Below are 20,792 nucleotides of genomic sequence, written 5' to 3'. Positions count from 1 at the left end.
CTCAAAATTACTTGTAGTTTGGGAGGCTTTACGAACACTTTGGGAGGCTGAGGTGGGTGAAGCACTTGAGCCCAGGAGTTTGAGACCATATAAAAATTAGTCAGGTGTGGTGGCGTGCACCTGTAGTCCCAGCTACTCAAGAGGCTGAGGTGAAAGGATCGCTTGAGCCCAGGAGGTTGAGGCTGCAGTGAACCGTGATCGTGCCACTGTACTCCAGCCCATGTGACAGAGTGAAATTCTGTATCGAAAAAAAAAAAAAAAAAAAAAGTCACTTTGGTATTTGGAGCGTTCATGGTTTCATATACATTTTAGAATTGTATTTTTTATTTCTGTGAAAAATGCTATTGGAATTTGGTAGGGATTGCGTGGAACCTGTAGATTGTTTGAGGTAGTATGGACATTTGAACATTTTATTTACTTGTGTCTTCTTCAATTTATTTCACCACTGTTTGACAGTTTTCATTGTACAGATCTTCTACCTCCTTGGTTAAATTTATTCATAAGTATTTTATCCTTTCTGAAGTTATTGCAAATGGGATTGTTTTCTTAATTTTGTTCTCAGATAGTTAATTGTTAGTGTATAAAAATGCAACACGATTTTTTATGTTGATTTTGTATCACAAAACTTTACTGAAATCATTTATTCTAACGGTTTTATAGTGGGGGGTTGAGGGTTTTATCTATATAAAATGAAGTCATTTTCAAACAAATACTTTGGCTTCCTCCTTTCTGATTTGGATGCTTTTTTTTTTTTCTTTCTTACCTAATTGCTCAGGTTAGGACGTTATTACATCGAATAGAAGTGGTAAGAGAGACACATTTGTCTTGGTCCCGATCTTAAAAGAAAACCTTTCAACTTTTCATCATTGAGTCTAATGTTTACTTTTGGCTTGTCACATGTGGCTTTTATTATGTTGATTTACATGTCTTCTACACCTAAATTCTTCAGAGTTTTATCATGGAAAGATAATAAATTTTATCAAATTCATTTTCTGCATCTATTGAGATCATGTGATATTTATCCTTCATTCTGTTAGTGTAGTGTACAAAACTTATTGACTTGCATATGTTGAACCATCTTTCAGCCCAGAGATAAATCCCACTTGATTATGGTGAATGACCCATTTGCAAGGGATAAATCCCAATTGATCATTGTGAATGATCCTTTTAAAGTGATGATGAATTAAATTTGCTAATATTTTGTTGAGGATTTTTACATCTATGTGCATCAGAAATGTTGGTCTATAATTTTCTTTTCGCATCTTTATCTGGGTTTGGTATGAGGGTAATTCTGACCTTTTAAAATGAGTTTAGAAGTATTCCCTTTTCAAATTTTTAGAAAAGTTTGAAAAGGACTGCTTTTAATCACTTAAATATTTGGTTGAATTCATTCGTGAGGACGTTTTGCCCCAGACTTTTCTTTTTGGGAGATTTTCATAAGTGCTTCAAACCTTTGCATGATCATTATTAGTCTATTTATATTTTCTATTTCTTCATTACTCAGTTCTAGTAGGCTATATGCTACTTGGAATTTATTAATTTCTTCTAGGCTATCCAATTTATTGGTGTATTGTTAATAACCTGCTATAATCTTTTGTATTACTATGGCATAAGTTCTTAGATCTTCTCTTTCATTTCTAATTTATTGAGCTCTGTCTTTTGTTCTATTTTTGCTAAAGGTTTATCAATTTTGTTTTTCTTTAGAAACTCTCAGTTTTGTTGATCATTTTAATTGTCTTTCTAGTATCCATTTCATTTATGCTCTAATCTTCATTATTTTCTTTCTGCTAATTCTGGGTTTATTTAGTTTGTTCTTTTTCTAGTTTCTTCAGATGTAAAATTAGGTTGCTTATTTGAGATCTTTATTATTAATAAATGTAAGCATTTGTCACTATGAACTTCCCTCTTAGGACTTCTTGTACTGCGTCTTATACATTTTTGCATGTTGTCTTTTTCTTTTTCATTTGTCTCCTTATACTTTTTGATTTCTTCTTTGGCCCATTGATTGCATTAAGAGTGTGTTGTTTACTTTCCACATATTTGTGAATTTTCCTATTTTCTCCTCTTATAGACTTCTAGTTTCTTACCACTGGATTGATACCAATCTTACCAAATATGATAACAAGTATCTTTTAAGATATTTGATATAATTTCAGTCCTCTTAAATTTGCTCAGATTTACAGTCTAACACAATATACCCTGGAGAATATTCTGCGTACACTTGAGAAGAATGTGTCTTCTGCTTTTCTTAAATGGCATTTTCTGCATATGTCTCCAAGGTCCATTTGATATAGTGTTAGTCAAGTCTGCTGTTTCCTTATTGATTTTCTGTCTGGATGATATATCCATTATTGAAATCCCTTACTATTTTTCCTTTCAGTCCTGTTTATATTTTCTTTACATATTTAGGTGCTCCAATATAGAGTACATGTATATTTACAATTGTTACATCCTTTTGATGAATTGATTCCTTTATCATTATATAGTGACTTTTTTTGTGACAGATTTTGACTGAAAGTCTATTTTGTCTCATATAAGTACTACTGCTTCCTTTTGGTTACCATTTCCATGGAATATCTTTTTCTGTCCCTTCGCTTTTAGCCTATGTGTGACCTTAAAGCTAAAGTTAGTCTCTCACAGGGAGCATATTGCTGCAACTTTTTTTTTTTCAAATCCACTAAGTCACTTTGTATTTCTTGATTGGATAATTTCATCTGTTTACAATTAAAGCAATTATTGATTGGCAAGGACTTATTACAGGCATACCTTTGAGGTATTACAGGTTCAGTTCCAGTATATCACCATAAAGCAAACATCACTATGAAGTGAGTGATACAAAATTTTTGGTTTCCCATAAATATAAAAGTTACGTTTATACTATACTGTGGTCTATGAAGTGTGAAATAGCATATGTCTAAAAAAAAATGCATATACCTTCATTAAAAATTAACTTGTTGCTAAAAACTGCTAACAATTATATGAGCCTTCAGTGAGTTGTAATCTTTTTGCTTATGAAGCGTCTTGCCTCAATGTTGATGGCTGCTAACTGATCAGGGTGGTAATTGCTGAAGGTGGAAGTAGCTGGTGCATTTTTTTAAGATAACAGTAAAGTTTGCCACGTTGATTGACTCTTCCTGTCCTGAAAGATTTCTATGTAGCATACAATGTTGTTTGATAGAATTTTATCCACAATAGGACTTCTTTCACAATTAGAGTCAATCCCCTCAAACTCTATCACTGCTTTATTAACTAGGTTTATGTAATGTTCTAATATTTTGTTGTCATTTCAACAATATCCACAGCATCTTCATCAGGAGTAGGTTCCACTGCAATAAACCATTTTTTGTTTTGTTTTTGAGATGGAGTCTCGCTCTGTCACCCAGGCTGGAGTGCAGTGGCCTGGTCTCAGCTCACTGCAAACTCCACCTCCTGTGTTCACACCGTTCTTCTGCCTCAGCCTTCTGAGTAGCTGGGACTACAGGCGCCTGCCACCACACCTGGCTAATTTTTTATATTTTTAGTAGAGATGGGGCTTCACCGTGTCAGCCAGGATGGTCTCGATCTCCTGACCTCATGATCCGCCCACCTCGGCCTCCCAAAGTGCTGGGATTACAGGCCTGAGCCACCGCGCCTGGCCCACTTTCTTTGCTCATCCTTAAGAAGCAACTTCTCATTTGTTAAAGTTTCATCATGAGATTTTGGCAATGCTGTCCCATCTTCAGGCTCCACTTGTAGTTCTAGTTCTCTTGCATTTCTACCACATCTGTAGTTTCTTCTTTCACTGCGTTCCTGAACCCTTCAAAGCCATCCATGAAGGTTAGACTCAATCTCTTGCTAACTGCTTTTATTGATTTATTTTGAGACAGAGTTCATTCTTGTTGCGCAGGCTGAGGTACTATGTCACAATCTCGGCTCTCTTGCCTCAGCCTCCTGAGTAGCTGGAATTATAGGTGTGCACCACCATGCCCAGCTAATTTTTGTATTTTTAGTACAGATGGAGTTTCACCATGTTGTTCAAGCTGGTCTCAAACTCCTGACCTCAAGTGATTCTCCCGTCTAGGCCTCCCAAAGTGTTGGGATTACAGACGTGAGCGAGTGCACCTGGCCGCGAACTGCTTTTAATGTTGCTATTTTGACTTCCTCCCATGAATCACAAATGTTCTTACTGGCATCTAGAATGCTGAATCCTTTCCAGATGGTGTTTGATTTACTTTGCCCAGATCCATCAGAAGAGTCACTATCTATGGCAGCTACAGCTTTAAAAGATGTATTTGTTTAACAATAAGACCTGAGAGTCAAAATTACTACTTGATTCATGGGTTGCAGTATGGATATTGTGTTAGCAGGCATAAAAACATTGATATCCTTTATACCTTCATCAGAGAGCTCTTTAGGTTACTATGTGCATTGTCAATGAGCAATAGTATTTTAAACGAAATCTTTTTTTTTTTTTCTTCTGAGCAATAGGTTTCAACAAGTAACTTAAAATATTCCATCAACCATGTGGTAAAGTTTTGCTGTCATCCAGTCTTTGTTGTTTTATTTCTAGAGCACCGACAGAGTAGATTTAACATAATTATTAAGGGCCCTAGGATTTTCAGTATGGTAAATCAGCATTGGATTCAACCTATGGTCACCAGCTGCATTAGCCCTTAACAAGAGAGTAAACCAGTCCTTTGAAGCTTTGAAGCCAGGTATTGACGTCTCCTTTTTTGCCATCAGAGTGCTAGATGGCATCCTTTTTCAATAGAAGGCTATTTTGTCTACATTGACTGAAAGCCTTATCAATAACACAAGCAGTTGATTAACACATATTTTGTATAGTCTATGTAGTATATATTCTTACAATAAAGTAACCTAAACAAAATAAAATGCTTCTTAAAACTATCGTGTGGAAGAAAAAATATATTTGCTTTTTTTTTTTTTTTTAACCTGGAAGTAGATCATGATAGGGTTCTTCATCTTCATCTTTACACTGAGTAGCCTGAAGAGGAGGTGCAGGAGGAAGGGGAGGTGGAAGGGTAGGCAGGAGAGGCAGGCACACTTGGTATAACTTTTATTGGAAAAAATCCACATATATGTGAACTCACACAGTTCAAACCCATGTGGGCCAAGTGTACTTCAACTCTGTTATTGAATTTACATAAATGCTTCTATTGTTAACTGCCACTTGATATGTATTTGATAATTTCCAACCTCCTGAATGTTTTGCTCCAACCTCAAATTTATATCCAGTATCAAAGTCACCATTTTCCCTTCTGATTTCCTGTCCCTGATCATGGAATGTCACCTGTCTTGGTCAGACACATTCTGAATGTCAGTGTTAGCTTCATATTTCCCTTTTCCTTCTCTTCTAGTGTTTAGCCAATTATTTGAAAAATTCAACTGATGTTACATTCTCACTCCTAATTCCATTACCCCTCTCATGAACAACTGACAAGATTCATTCAAACTTTTATTTATTTACTCTGCATAAATCATTGTAAAATCACTTGATCCTGCTGGGAGCAGTGGCTCACGCCTGTAATCCCAGCACTTTGGGAGGCCGAGGCAGGCGGATAACGAGGTCAGGAGATAGAGACCATCCTGTGAATGGTGAAACCCCGTCTCTACTAAAAATACAAAAAATTAGCCAGGCGTGGTGGTGGGCACCTGTAGTCCCAGCTACTTGGGAGGCTGAGGTGGGAGAATGGTGTGAACCCAAGAGGTGGAACTTGCAGTGAGCCGAGATCAGGCCACTGCACTCCAGTTTGGGAGACAGAGTGAGACTGCGTCTGAAAAAAAAAAAAAAAAAAAAATCTCTTGTGGCTAAGGCCCTTTATCTGCTGAAGGTTCACTGCTGAAATGAACTGACAATAGACAGAATAGACAGAAAAAAAGGCCTACAAACCTATTAACATGCACATTGACATGGGAGACCCACAAATATGAGACCCAAAAGAAGGGCCACATAGTTGGGGATTAAATGCCCTCTTCAGGCTAGGCACGGAGGCTTCTGCCTGTAATCCTAGGTCTCTGTGAGACTAAGGTGGGAGGGCCAGTTGAGGCTAAAAATTTGAGACTAGCCTGGGCAACATAGTGAGATCTTGTTTCTACAAAAAAAAAAAAAAAATACAAAATAAAAATTAGCCAGGCATTGTGGCATGTACCATTAGGCTTAGATGCTCAGGAGGTAAGGTGGGAAGATAGCTTGAGCCCAGGAGTTTGAGGTTTCAGTGAGCTATGATTGAGCCACTGCGTTCTAGCCTGTAAAACAAAGCAAGACCCAGTATCTAAATTAATTAAGTAAAAATTAAACTAATACCCCAGTCATAAGGGAGATGAAAGTTGGGTCTCTAGGCAATTTTAGAGTGGATAGTAAATAATTTTTAGAGGAAATAAATGGAACCAGGAGGCAGACATTATCTTTTAAACGATTTTATTTAAAAAACTGAATGGGATAAGCAAGTTAAAGGAAAATGAGGGGCAAAACTGCACTGTAAACAACGATGGTCTTATTATATAGATAAAGTCTCCCAGGCAGTCTCTCTCTGTGCTGCCCTCAGAAAAATAGATACAAAGCCTATCCGGGTACGGTGGTGATATTTTGTCTTTTCTTTTCTCTAGTGGTTAATCTTTTCTGGTCAATTGATTAGGTTCCTAGAAAGGGGGTTTTAAGACAATTTCATTTCTATGGAAAGGAGTTTCCTGGTCAGATAAGGAAATTCCAAAGTTCCTTTCAGGGCTTCAGGTGGAGGTGGGCAAGAAGAACAAGAGATTAAAAAGTTCTTGTATCTGAGGAAGATGTAGGGACTTCCAATTTAATTTAATTCGAAATGCTCATCAGACCAAAGCTCTATACTTTGGAGAATCGTTCTCTGTGCCCCAATAACCTATAAAACATAATAGTTATGAAGTATGCAACAGTTACACACAATTTCAAACATAAGGATTAGAGAACCTGATTAAGTGTGGCTTAAACAAGGATTCATAATCTCATATATTCATATATTCTCAAGCTGGATAGTTGCCTATTTTGGTTTCACTCCTTTCTCATTTAGAAAAACAAAAGGGGACAGCTCACCATCAGCACTCATTTAATTTTTACATAAACATTCTTTGAGGTAGAAGCAAATCTGACTTTCAATATGAAAATACAATATAAAAACTGCTCTTAGGGTTATTTCTAATCAGAACAAACATCAGAATTATATGAGTCATCAGAATCATCTGTTTTGGAAAAATCGGATTCTTCCAATGAATCTTCAGCCAATAGCAGTTCCCTAATGATGTTAGCATCATGAGTAGAAATCCTATGTTTTCCAGGATTTGAAATTTTCAGCGATCAAGAATCACTATATTTTTGTAAATGAAAATACCACTAGTAGAAATAGAATGCTGTAAATAGAATGATGTCTTTTGTTTCCGAAGTGAATATGCTAGAGCAATGTGTAAATAATAATAAAAGCAAGATATTTTCACAAAGTTATCTCAGGGTAAATGCTGTAGCTGCAAGCATCAGTGGAGAGTATTCTTGGGGCATATGGGAAAATGCTTAACAAGGGGAGAAGTCAGAGCAGAGGGAATCTATCTCTTCACACTACTATTGCCTTTTCTCTGAAATCTTCCCACAAGCTTCCTAGCCAACATCGCATCTTGTTTGATAACCATAACTGAACTCATGCCCACCTGTTTCGTGAAATCAGGATTTTCAATACTTATCTTCACATAAGTATGTGAAGTGTGCTTGCATGTGTTAACAAGAAGAGGACAGGGAATAGAAAATGTGTATTTGGTAATTAAGCACATTTGTAGGGTATCTTCCACCACACCACTCAGATTGTTACCTGCTTGCTCAAAATCTTTAGTAACTCCTGTAGCAACTCAATTCTTGCCTCCTCAATGGAAATAATTCTGCTGAGGGGCATAAGATAGAGACTGAGGCAAGTTTTGCAGCGGGAGTGAAAGTTTATTAAAAGATTTTAGAGCAGAAACAAAAAGAAATATACTTGGAAGAGGGCCAAGTAGGTGACTTGAGAGATCCGAGTATTCCATCTGACTCTTGTCTTGGGGTTTTTACATATTGTCTTTGTTCTGAGGTTTGCATTTCTTTTCCCCAGGTTCTTCCTTTGGAGTGGGCTGTTCACATACTCAGTGGCCTGCCAGCACTTGGGAGGGGCCACAAGTGCAGTGTGTTTACTGAAGTTACATGCATGCTCACAAGAGCTGTTTTTCTCTTACCTGTTCAGTGTTCCTAGAGGTAGGTCAGATACCAGTCAAACCCCGCCATTTTGCCTCTTAGTGTGCATGCTTGAGCCCACTCGCTCAACTCCTGAGATCTTTTTGGGAAGCTGCTGATCACTGTTAGGCATGTCTGTATAAGAGACCGCCTGAGCAGGCTTAGTGTGAGCAGCAAGGCTCTTTATTCACTTGGGCGCAAGTGGGCTGAGTCTGAGAAAGGAGTCAGTAAAGGGTGGTGGGATTATCATTGGTTCTTACAGGTTTGGCATAGGCGGTGGAGTCAGGAGCAATTTTTTGCGGGCAGGGGATGGATGTTACAAAGTACATTCTCAAGGGCTGGGAGAATGTTACAAAGTACATTCACAAGGGCGGGGAGGGTGTATTGTCACAAGAGCGGGGAGGAATGTTACAAAATACATTCACAAGGATGGGAATATCACAAAGTACATTATCAGAAAGGCGGGGGAATGTCATAATGGCTTGACGATGGTGCGGCCAGCTCAGAGGACCTTAAAATCACCACCAGCTTCACGTGTTTTCTATGTATCGGGAGACTGCCTTTTTTTTTGGCACTGTCTACAACCAACTATTATTTTAGAGAGACAGTGTGATAACGGCCTGACCATCTTCTGATGGTTGCCTGACATTCCTGGGGGTGAATTGGAGCTCTCTTGCCTTGCTCATGGCTGCCTACCTACTCTAACACCAGCAACCTTTAAATAAGACCCGTGCATCTTATAATTCTTATGCCTCTGTAAATTTACTTCATCTCCTGTTACTATTTTCTTTAGTAATCCTTTATATGTAATGGCTTTTGCATGGTAAACCACTTGAGGGTTAGGATCACCATTCCCTCTAAAAGCTACCTCTGTGTAAGCTATTTGTTGAGTGAATATATTAATTTGGTTCACTTTATGTTTTTTTGTACTTCTTTTCTACTTTGTGCCTTTTCTTCTTTCTGTTCTTCTTACAGAAGTCTGTTAATGTTGTTTCTAAGCTCTATTTCTCACTCAATAGGAGTATTTTTCTGAGTTCAAGAGGAACATTAATGTTCTTAAGCAAGACGCTGATAAACAAACGTTTGAAAGGTCATTCTTCCTTTGAGAATAGAGTAATTAGGTACCATTTCAACCAAATTGCTTTTTAAGCTGAAAAAGTTAGGATCTAGCTTTCACTGAAGAATAGCTTTTCTAGCACCAATAATAAAGGCATAAAAGTGTACTTTAAGAAATCTCAGTATGTATAAACCCTGAGTTATAATAAAAGAAAAGCTTTAAATATTCAAATTTACTTTTTTATTTTGTAAAACTAATCTGAAAGGGTTCCTTCAGATAGCAAATATTTACATTGGATCTGTTTTCCACTTAACTGAGCTGGTACAGAGTTGATCTAGGAATAAACCTGTGAAGTCAAATCACCTTGCGTTTGAACTCTTCCTCTTTTCTAATACTGTTGCTTCCTAACCGGTCACTTAATTGACAGCCCAATCTCTCATTAATAACAATATCACTATAAAGACTGATGCTAATAATGAAATCATTATTGTACATTTACCAAACAAAGGGCACTAGGCAAAGCACTTTATATATTACTTCTTCTCATACTACTAGGTCATTGTGAGGTTGTTAACATCATTCATTTGGGGGTTATTGAGACATTTGCTTGAGGCCACACAGTAAATGGCAGAATTTGGGTAAGCCTGGCCCCAAAACCCAAAGCCTGGCCCCAGAATCCAAGCTACTATGGTATTTATTTTTTCTAATTAAAAGAGAGTGTTTACACTTAACTTCAAAGTCCCTATGAGGATCAATTTAGATATTACATAATTGCACTATATAATCTGTACAATATTTTACAAATGTAAGGTGTTACTATCAGTAAATTTTAAATATATTTTATGCATGATCACATTTTCACCTTTAGAACAATCATATAAAATTATAATACTTAACAAGGAATTTCTTCTATCAAGTAAATATTTCAATTGCTTATGTAAAATGTGGATGAAATTTAACATAATATTATAAAAATTATATTTTGAATCATCTGATTATAATCAAACATTTTATATATAAAAAGCACACCTCATATCTCTACCAAGTGCATGGTATGCTAAAGAAGTAAGCTTTTTATTAGCTCAAAGTCTTGTTTAGATTAAATGCCTTTATGTTCATGAGTTTCATAATATGCTTTCTCCCCACAAATAATTTAAAATTTTATGTATGAATTCAGTAAAAATTTATTCAACACCTACTAGGTGCCAAGAACTGGTTGAAATAAAATCTGAGAGTCTTCCTCAAAAGAGTTAAGGAAAGATAAAAAGTTCCTTTCTGGTTGAAAATTTATAATGTTGTTAAAAGCCATATAAAATTTTTTGTTCATAGAAATTTTAGAACACATTCATAAATTCACAATTTTAGTAGACATTCAATTTACCCATTTAAACTTTTTTTATTAGTTTCCTGTGTGCTGATACATTAATGTGTGATTCAGTGGCTGGATCCATATTTCCAGCCATTTCCAAGCGGGCTTTAGGGATGGGAAATTCAGTGCAGTGTACTGCTATTTTATGAAATATTGCATGATTATATAATTATCTTGTCTTACTTCAGAATCAAAGCTTCTTTCAGCTAAAAGAGCCCTATGTGACTGAAGGAAATGTAGAGGGATGAGACTGGGTATACATAGCAGTAGTTGATTCCAGTGAAAAATAGTTTTTCTTGAGGTTAGAAGCTGATCAAAAACAGCCATCAGATAATCTTTGTGTATTAAAAGAAAAAAAATAACTCACACACTACATTTCTGATAATGTAGATTTTAACATTGGAATGAAGCAATGTGGGCATAATTCTTGTTCCATTGCTCCAGTAAGAGAACTCAGTTAAGATAGGCACCCATAAACTTCTAGTGAGATAGTGAAACACTAAACAAAATCTAGATCTCTTGTATGCTCTTGTGTATTGTAAAACTACTATGTCAGGATCTTTCTGATATTTCATTACACTACTCCAAGCTCATTAACATATGAGCTTCTCTTTAAATGATTAATCCTTTTTTATTTGATTTGTTATGTTTTTACCTTTAATAATCACATGTATTAGTTTTACAGGAAAACCAGTTTCTTTCCTGAAAGAAAAGAGAAAAAAATGCATTTATAAATTAAAAATTTTGTTTTCTCCTCACAGACATCATTGGTATACCAGGCAGAGATCCTAGACATCAAGAAGGCACCAGTTACAATTATATTTATTTGTCAGATGCCTTATTAAAACAGTACTAACTCTGCTGGCCATGAAGTTTTATCTATTTGGGATGCTCATCATGATAAGTTGAAATATCACTGATGTATTTAAAATGAGAAAATGCAGAAAAACTATTGTTGGAGGTGATATCCCATTAATTTAAGAAAATAAATAATTATTTCTGAATTGTAGATACTGAAGCAATCTAATGAAAAAATAGTTTCTTCAATTCTGCAGCTATATTGAGAGTGACTTAAAAATTTTGTGTTTCTCATAAGAGTTTGACATTTTTTACTACCAATGAGGATTATCACTGAGCGGTTTACTGACTTGCTTTTTTTTTTTTTCTTTTTTATCAAAACGTCCAGTTCAGTGAAGGTGAAAGTAACATTAGTATTTTCCCCAGATTACTCCAATATTAGACCACCACAATTTTCAGTGATTTAGCGTATCTTTTTCTATTTGCGTAATGCTTACATGTCTGGCAATATATTTACCTAATTATAGATTTTTAAATTTACAATAAACCGATATGCATATGCTGCAAAATATGTCTTAGGTTTTGCTGGATCAGATTAAAATATTTTGTGGAACTAGGTTTTCCAAGTAAATTCCTTGTAGTTCAGTAATAGTAAATTTACCATGCTTAAAATTAATATAATTAGTATAGTATTTGGTACTCTTAAAATAGCTCAAATTATATGCATTATTAGTGTAATGCAAAAGAAAATGTGTGTGAGAAAGAGAGAATGAATAAACAATTGTAAGTTTGTTTCATTAGAATTTTTTTCTGAGGGAGGGGGAGGTTGCCAGCATGTGTTAGAAGTCCTCAGATAATATATGGAGAAAAAACTGATAGGTGTATTCATTCAACAAGCATTTATTGAGCTCCAACTATAAGCTAGGTCCTATTCTGGATACTGGGTATGGAGAGTTGAATTTTTTTTAAAAAAAAACGTTCCTAGCATCCTGGGCTTTGTGTGATATGAGTTACTATATGGCTAAGCTTTCCCACAAAAAGTTTCCAAACATACATTTATAAGAGTTCCCTAGTCTATAGAGCCAGAGATGTATAAAGTGGAGATTATCCAAATGTTAGAACAACAAGATATTTCATATTTTGAACCTGGAGTTTAAGTTTGAGTTCTGTGGCTAATTTAGGAGCAAATTATGGCCTAATATAAGGTAGTGCATTAACTTCAAATTCTAAGGAGGCAGGGAGCAAGCTATAATTATGTGCCCTTTTGACCTAAGGACATCTTAGTTTATACAATTGCTAAGAATACAAAATATGGACATATTTGGATGAAAAACGAGGGAAACAACAGGATTCCTATCAACCCATAGGAATCTTGATCTCAAACACTTCCATTACATTTGCATTTCAGGAGTAAAGTAAAAGCAATTTTAAACTGAGTTTAAATTATCATATTGGACCTCACACCTGGACCAGACTGTGTCTGCACCAATTCAAGGAGATGAAACACAATATTCTAATAAACCTTAAGCAACTTGAGTCGCAATTAAGCAATTGGTGCTAAACACATTCAATTTGAAATGCATAAGATGAAACAGACTATTTTTTTCTCAATACTCACCAACTTGCCATATATCCTTGAATTTTGAAAATTATCCAAGCTGACTCCATTCTTGTATAAACAGAACAATAACCTTTATTTGTTATCATTATAGTATTCTGATTGTAAGCACTGCTTGCCTGAGTTTTGTGCCAACATGTATCCTGATGGAAATGCCTTAAAGGGCATCCTTCTGATTTATAGACAACGGATAAAAGAACTTGCAGTGGCCTTGTCAATTTCTTAAGAGGCAGTTAATTAGTATCCTCCTGTTTGGTGAATTTAACCTTTAATAGTTAGCTGAAATGTGTCCTCCAATAATTTCCAACAGTGAAATTATTACCCTATAAACTCAAAACAATTATTGACCAATCAGTTAATAAAATGAATTTTCAGAATTGCAGGTAAAACTACTTTTCTTAGTCCAACAAAAGTTTTGTTCACTTACTCTCCAGTGGCCACAGAAATATGCTCCCTTTATATACCTTGGTAAACTTGCCTTTGTACAGATTATTTAAAATTAACAACTAAAGAGGTGTAATAAGAGCCTCAGTGAGATTTGTTTGCTTTATAAACTCAGAACAGGTTATAGAAGGGCAGCCTTTGACAAAAGGAAAATCCCATTGGAGTTTAGGTGCAGAGCATTTCCATTCCTGTTTTATACTGAAAGTTACTTTTTTTTTTTTAATCCTCTTTAGCTTGCTTATACCTGATACAGCATAGAGAAAAGTGGGTCAGCTTAAAGCTAGTAGCTTTACTTTGTCAAGAGAGGACTTATATGCATGAAAGCATTTTCCTTTCTATGAATGTATACCGGGTACTAATGATTTAAAAATTGCTTTTATATTTGTCACTAAAAAGACCTCTAAAATCAAAGTTGTTACATGATGGAAGTGCCTAATATTTACTTTTGATATAAGATGACTTTTAAATAAGTGTCTGATTCTTTTTTCCTTCTCAAATGCAAATAAATAAATAATAAATAACAGTTGAGTAGCTATTTATAATATCTTTCTTATTTAAATACATTCTAAACTCTTAGTATAGAACAAGGAGATTAGTGCTTGGACAGTTGTCAAAAAGCTCAACTAATCGTGTATCTCCTTCAGAGATGTAAATGCTTCTGTTGCATATCCCTTAAGAAATGTTTATTAAATTTTGAGTGGCTGTTGTTTTACAAGCTTTAAATTGCTTATTATAGGTACTGCTATCAGCTAGAGATGTGGATGAGCTCCTTTATTGACCCTTGAACACCTTTCAACATTGGATAAATTGGGCAAATATAATTAAATACCTAATATTAATGACATATCATTCAATCAGTCAAAATACATTTATCAGGTACTTACCATGTGCTGACAGAGCTACAAAGTATCAAACAAGTGGTTTCTGTCTTCCAAGACCTCATGGTCTATAGACAATGATCCTTCCTTTGTTCATCTATTAAATTTCAAATAATCCGTTCTCTCTTTACAGACCTATAATTCATTAGTTATAAATCATTAAAGGATCTTTTAAAATCATTTAATCAATTGGCCGTTTGCTTTTACCCTTTTTCTCCAGGGATCCTGTGATTCAGGATCACACTAGTCCCTTTTCTTTCCAAATGGCTGAGTTCATATACATTTATGAAATATTAAATACAGATTTTTGCAAAACTGGGGAATATCTTAAATATTTTATTTTTTTAGAGACAAGATCTTGCTCTGTCCCCAGGATGGAGCACAGTGACTCAATCATAGCTCACTGTAGGCTGGAATTCCTTGACTCAAGCCATCCTTCCGCCTCAGTCTCTGGAGTAGCTGGTACTGCAAGTGCACCACCCCGCCTGGCTAATCAAACATTTTATAAAACAAATGGGCATTAAGATAATCCCAAAAGAGTGTGGTATGCAGGACTTCCAAAATGTATTTCACTTTGGAAACTTTATTTTACTTATTTTGACAGAAATCTCTTCGGGAATTCAATATTTTATTATTATTTTTTCTTTTGACAAGAATGTCAAGTGGCTCATCCACCTGTAGGAATAGTTGAGAATGAAAATTTGGAGACTGAAAGGAATTTCTTTTTGTACTTTGAAGCAGGTTTAATCCTTGTCCTTTTTCTCTGTGTTTCTAAGTCTTTTTCTTTTGTCTTCGTGATTAATCAGAGTTCAAAAAGAAAGCTCTCCACCTAGTCTCTCTCAGTCTAGATTCCCTTTAGATGACTATTTTATCTTCCTTGCTTTGTCCTTTTGTTAAGGCCTCAAACTCTTTTGTTACTTTTAACCCTTTATTTATATTCATTGGGACATCATTTTATTTCCAACTTTTATTGAAGCCTAACCTTCCTCTAATGCTTACCCCCCTTTTTATTGTTTGTAAAGAGACAGTTCGGTCTCTTGTGAATTTTAGCATTAGCAAATGTATGCTTTACCTTGGTTCTCATTAGTGTTTATGGAATATTGAACTGACAACACTTAGGTTATGACTCTTCCTTATCTGCCCCCAAGGAAACACAGTGTATCATTCTTTCAAAAGCAAGGCTTACTGATTTGCAAGTGGTTACTTTCATTTTTAGAAGTATTTGGCCTGGCCTTTAGAGTCCCTTTCTACCCTTAGGGCTTCAAAACATTGTGGATAACTTTAGTATCCTCTGAATGTTCCATTCTGAACTCTGAAGACTTTCAAATTCCAGTGGTCTTTGATTCTATTCTATTGATTAACTCATTTAAAGAGCTACATTCTATAATTGCTCTCTCTGTAAGATCTTTAATTTTTAAGTTTAACTCTCCTTCCAAAACATATTATCTCAACCTAATCTATTAGCATTTAATGTGCTCTTCAACCTGACTACAAACCTATCTCATTTATTTGCTATATGGAAGTTAATTGCATTTATTTTTAAAATATATAAATTGGAGGGAACCTTCTGGTCAAATGAATTTTAAAATGTGTAGATAAGATATATAAGTTTTGATTCTGCAGTCATTCCCGTAATAATAACAGGAATAATGTTCTGATGTTACGTTAATAAGTAAGATGGGGATCTAATGTGAAAAATGTCCCAACTTTCAAAATATTTTTGAGAACAAAGCATTTTTAAAAACATTAAAAGAAAAACCAAAACATTTTACCTCCATTATGTCTCAGGATTAGAGATTCACACCCACTATGCTTTGGTAATTTGGGTGATATTTTCTAATCTCTGATTATATCTCCATATCTAAGACCTCTACCTGATTTTGCTTCCAATTTGCTGTGTCTGCTTCATAAATCAGTCATTTTACCTGCGCTCTCAGCAACTACTTTATTTCCTTCTTGTTCTCTTCTCTACATATGGCTTATTCCAAACCATTTCTTACTGCATTTCTACTTCTAGGCTGCTGCATGCTGATGGAATTCAGAACATGATACCCCAAAATATGGCATCTTAACATTTGAGAAAAATAGCAGAAGCAGAAAGGTCATTCTCTGACCTTCTCCCATGAAATGGGTCATAAGATTCTTGTCTGAGAAGTCCCTTCCCTATCCTTGGAAGAAAGGAACGTCCTTATGTCTGAAGACACAAGGACACAGAGGAAACTGAACAAACAACCCTTGATAAATTCCCCCCAATTTATTCCCATTAGATCTTATCCTTTTTGTCCAATCATACTTCACAACTATTTACTTCATCAAATGTAGCGTAAAAATACACAGGTTTCTCTATTTCTTTGAGTCTTCATTTCTGAAGGTGTCTGTGTCAGGTAAAACTCATATTAAATAAATATGATTTTCCCTTGTTGACCTCTTTTATTACATATGTCTCAGCCATAAATCTAGTGAGGAATGAATAAAGGTTTCCTCCCCTACAATGTTATCGAAGAAAATAACATAGTATTTATTAATTTATTAAAATTTATGATTATCAGACACTGCTTGGGCCCCCAATATCACTTGGTAAATTCTTTTGTTTTATTTCCCTTCCTTGTCCTCTCTCCCTGGTGGCTATTCTGTGAGGTTCCAATCGTCTTTTGACTTTTTCAAATTTTGCTGAAATATGTATCTCTAATATGATCAAGAACATTCGTGTATTCAGACATTAACTCTTTAACTTACTTTTATTTCACCTCAAATCCATCATTTTCTAACTTTATTACTACTTCCTTCCCAATTTTATGACAGAGGATGATTTTTTTTATTTTTTATTTTTTTGAGATTAAGTCTCGCTGTTGTCCGCCAGGCTGGTGTGCGATGGCGCGATCTCAGCTTACTACAACCTCCACAGCCTGGGGTCAAGTGAATCTCCTGCCTCAGCCCCCCCCGAGTAGCTGGGATTACAGGTGCCTGCCACAAGTCCTGGCTAGTTTTTGTATTTTTAGTAGAGACAGGGTTTCACCATATTGGTCAGGCTGGACTTGAACTCCTGACCTCAGGCGATCCACACGCCTCAGCCTCCCAAAGTGCTGGGATTACAGGCATGAGCCACCATGCACGACCTGACAGAAGACGATCCTTTTCGTCAAGTATAGCCTCATCAGTTTTGGATTATTCACTCTATTCTTTCTCATTTTTCTAGATTTTTGGTCCATCTATTATCTTTGATGTTTTCCTTATTTTCCAGAACCTTCTAATCTTAACTACTACTTTCTTAAACAATAATTACCTTCTTAAATTTTATAAATTTGCTTTGCACATTTTAAATATGTAATTTATAGTATTTTCTTATAAAATAATTTAATTTTTTTAAAAATTTGAAATACATGCAAAAAAACCCAAACAACTAAACTGCCTGTTTAAAAAAAAAAAAAAAAAAAAAACTGCCTGAAATTCTGCTACCTAGGGTATTACTATTTTGGTATAAATCTAGATATTTTATGCATATGTTGTATTTTTTTAAATTAAGCTAATTCTGTACCAAATACTTTGTAACACTCTCTTCTAAAATGTGTTTTTTATTCCTTCCCCATGTATTTCTTTAAAGTACAGTGTGTGACCACTGTCTTTGCTCTCAGATATCCCATCTACTATTCAGAAAACTATGTTCAATCTTCCATCTCTATTAGTTGATAAAAACTTCTTACACTGAGTTTACCACCATCCTTTTAAATATTACTATTCAGATGATGAATAAGTTTATGGCCTTGATTGTGGCAATGACGTAATGGTGTATACTTCTCTCCAAACTCATCAAGTTGTATATGTTGAATTTATGTAGCTTTGTATATGCCAAATCATACCTCAATAAAGTGGTTTAAAGGAACCCCAAAACACTAGCATCCTTTTCTCAGTCCTCATGGCCCTTTCATTCCTGAAGACTTTGCTATTTTTAGGTTTTTCATGAAGTCCTTTCCGACTTTACCTTCCAAATTCAGCTTTCTACTAGTTCTTGCCTACCTTTTTGAATGCAATTTTTGCTTGTTTTTTCTTCTTTTATGTGCTTTGGTTCCTCATTTTACTCCACACATTTATCAGGCTACAGGTTTTGTACCTCTCTTCATTTCTTCCAACTGAAAAGTCCCTCCCTGAGAATTCTCATCTACTTTCTTAGCTTTAGCTGTCAGCAAATGCTTAGTTTCTTCAAATTTACATGACTATTTTTCAATTTTCTCCTGAACATCAGAGCCATCATTTCAACCTCCTCCCGGATATTTCTTCCCGTAATTTCATTGATTCCTCAGACAGCACATATCTAAAATTGAGCTGTCTTCTATGCAAACCTTGAATCCTTTTCAGTACTCTATCCATGATAGGCACCATGGAATTTTATCTTACTCTCCCTGCAACTGGATTAAGAAGTATTAGCAAGTTTATCTTCAAAACGTTTCTCAGATATCCCAGCCTCCTTTTCTTCTTCTTCTTTCAACTGAGGAAAGGATTTGTGTTTCAGAAACAAAACTTAGTATCCATTTGGGGATCCTCTTTAAAAATACAGCCTCTGTTTGGAAGTGAATATTTGATTAGAATGAACAAAGAAATCACAATAAATTGCATATTAAAAAAACTGAAAAATACCTTAAAATTTAGAAGAATCTTTTTCTTAATATAATTCTGTAATTCTATATATTTTCTTTTTTCTTGTGACGGTGGTGCATAGTCATTGATATATTCTTCACATAGAAACAATCCTGTGATAGTTTCTGTAGAGAGACTAGAAATGTACTTTTTATTTTTTCTAGTATATTTGGATCATTTTGTTATGTCAGTGGCAATTTTACCTACTGTTTAGTCTGGAACTCCCAGACATTGTCAGAAGAAGATGTGTCAGATGTGGTAAGACATGATCTGATACAATAGGATACAATAGGAAACATAAACCATGCAACTTCATACACAGGTGTATTTGCAGTTTGAAGTACTGCTGGAGGTTTTTGTCCTACCACAAAGAAATACTAATCAAATCTATTTTATTTTATTTCCATCAAAAATAAGAAAAAGGTTAATGACATGTTTATAATTGTATATGCTTCATTATCTAGCATGTATACTCCCTTTTGACGTCCCTTTTTGACTAAGTATCAATGATAACACAATACTATGCTTATACTTTATTTGTTTCATGAATACGAATTTTCCTCAGACTTGTTTTTGGTTCCTTAAATACAAACCTTGTTTTTTTCCACTATCCAAATGCTTCCTTGGCTGGGTGGCAATGGCCCTCAATATTGTGATCAGATCTCTAGCCCTATAACAGTATTTCAAAGCTGGGTGAGTTAATATCTGGTGATAGTATTCCTAAAAACTTTCCCTACAATGGGATAGTTAGGTCCCACTATTCTAAAACTCAATATACCCCACTATTTCCAAATTAAATATATTCTCAAATATTTCTCTATCCAGATCTCCAAATACATGTGGCCTTTCCAACACCATAGGACAGGAGCAAAAGTGTGACAGATTGGAAGACAAAGTAGAAAGAGACAGGAGCCTTAACTATACATAGTTAAAGTATTCTCACGTTTTAAACCATATATGATCATGTGAAGCCCACGCAAGGGCTCCTCCCAGGGGCTTGGGAGTGGCCTGTGCCAGTGAGCACATTGAAGCTCAAGCTGTTGGTTTTAAGGTGAAGCTACCTCTGCTCTTTCCACTCCCTCATTCATTTAGACCTGTGATATTTCTGGTTTAGATGATTGCAGCATCTTCTAAACTGTTATCTTCCCCTTTTAGGTTCTCTTCCCTTCAATTTATTCTAATTTAGCACTGCCAGTAAAGTTATCTTTTAAAACACCATTCTAGTCAGGTTGGCAGTTTAGCAGAAGAGATAAGACCTTTAGAGAGATACTCAGTTTGAGTTACTTACTACAGGTTTGATTCCAGACAGAATATTTATCTTCTCTAAGCCATGGTTTTATTATCTGTAAAATTGAGAACATAGTAATTCTTATATTTCAGGGCTCTTTTGAAGATCAGATTAAATCTCACATGTGAAATAGTCGACAAACAATGTTAGTCATGATTATCATCAAGACTCATCTCTTTAAAGAGTCTAAATTCTCCTTGTTTGATTAGCTTATCGTTCAGTATCCCTCACTTACCTCTCTATTTTTGTCATCTACATATACCCCCCATGCCTTCTCTGCTCTAGCCACATTGATACACTCACTTTTGCCTCTGCCACCAGTACCCCAAATACCATAAATCGTTAAGTCTCCATACCTTTCACTATATTACTCATGTTTTTTCAAATACCCACTCATTTGCCTTGCAAAAATCTAAGCATCCTTTAAGGCCTAGTCCTTATGTCATTTCTTGGTAACACCTTCCATGGTCAACATGGGCATAATTAATGG

At 35.3% G+C, this 20,792-nt stretch overlaps 1 protein-coding gene and 1 long non-coding RNA gene across 39 annotated transcripts in view; one reads left to right on the top strand and one right to left on the bottom strand.

Annotated features, from left to right (window-relative positions):
• Positions 1–20,792, top strand: part of PTPRD (protein tyrosine phosphatase receptor type D) — a 2,298,757-nt gene that overhangs the window by 797,940 nt on the left and 1,480,025 nt on the right. The gene's annotated exons all lie outside the window — the stretch shown is intronic.
• LOC105375972 (uncharacterized) lies at positions 11,272–15,671 on the bottom strand. Its single transcript, NR_135135.1, has 3 exons — positions 15,455–15,671; positions 14,389–14,517; positions 11,272–11,346 (listed from the first exon to the last, which is right to left on the bottom strand). It is a non-coding gene; the product is annotated as an uncharacterized LOC105375972 (long non-coding RNA).

Source organism: Homo sapiens, chromosome 9 (genome assembly GCF_000001405.40).
Source record: "Homo sapiens chromosome 9, GRCh38.p14 Primary Assembly".
NCBI classification, from domain to species: Eukaryota; Metazoa; Chordata; class Mammalia; order Primates; family Hominidae; genus Homo; species Homo sapiens.
This window is presented reverse-complemented; position numbering and strand designations above follow the sequence as displayed.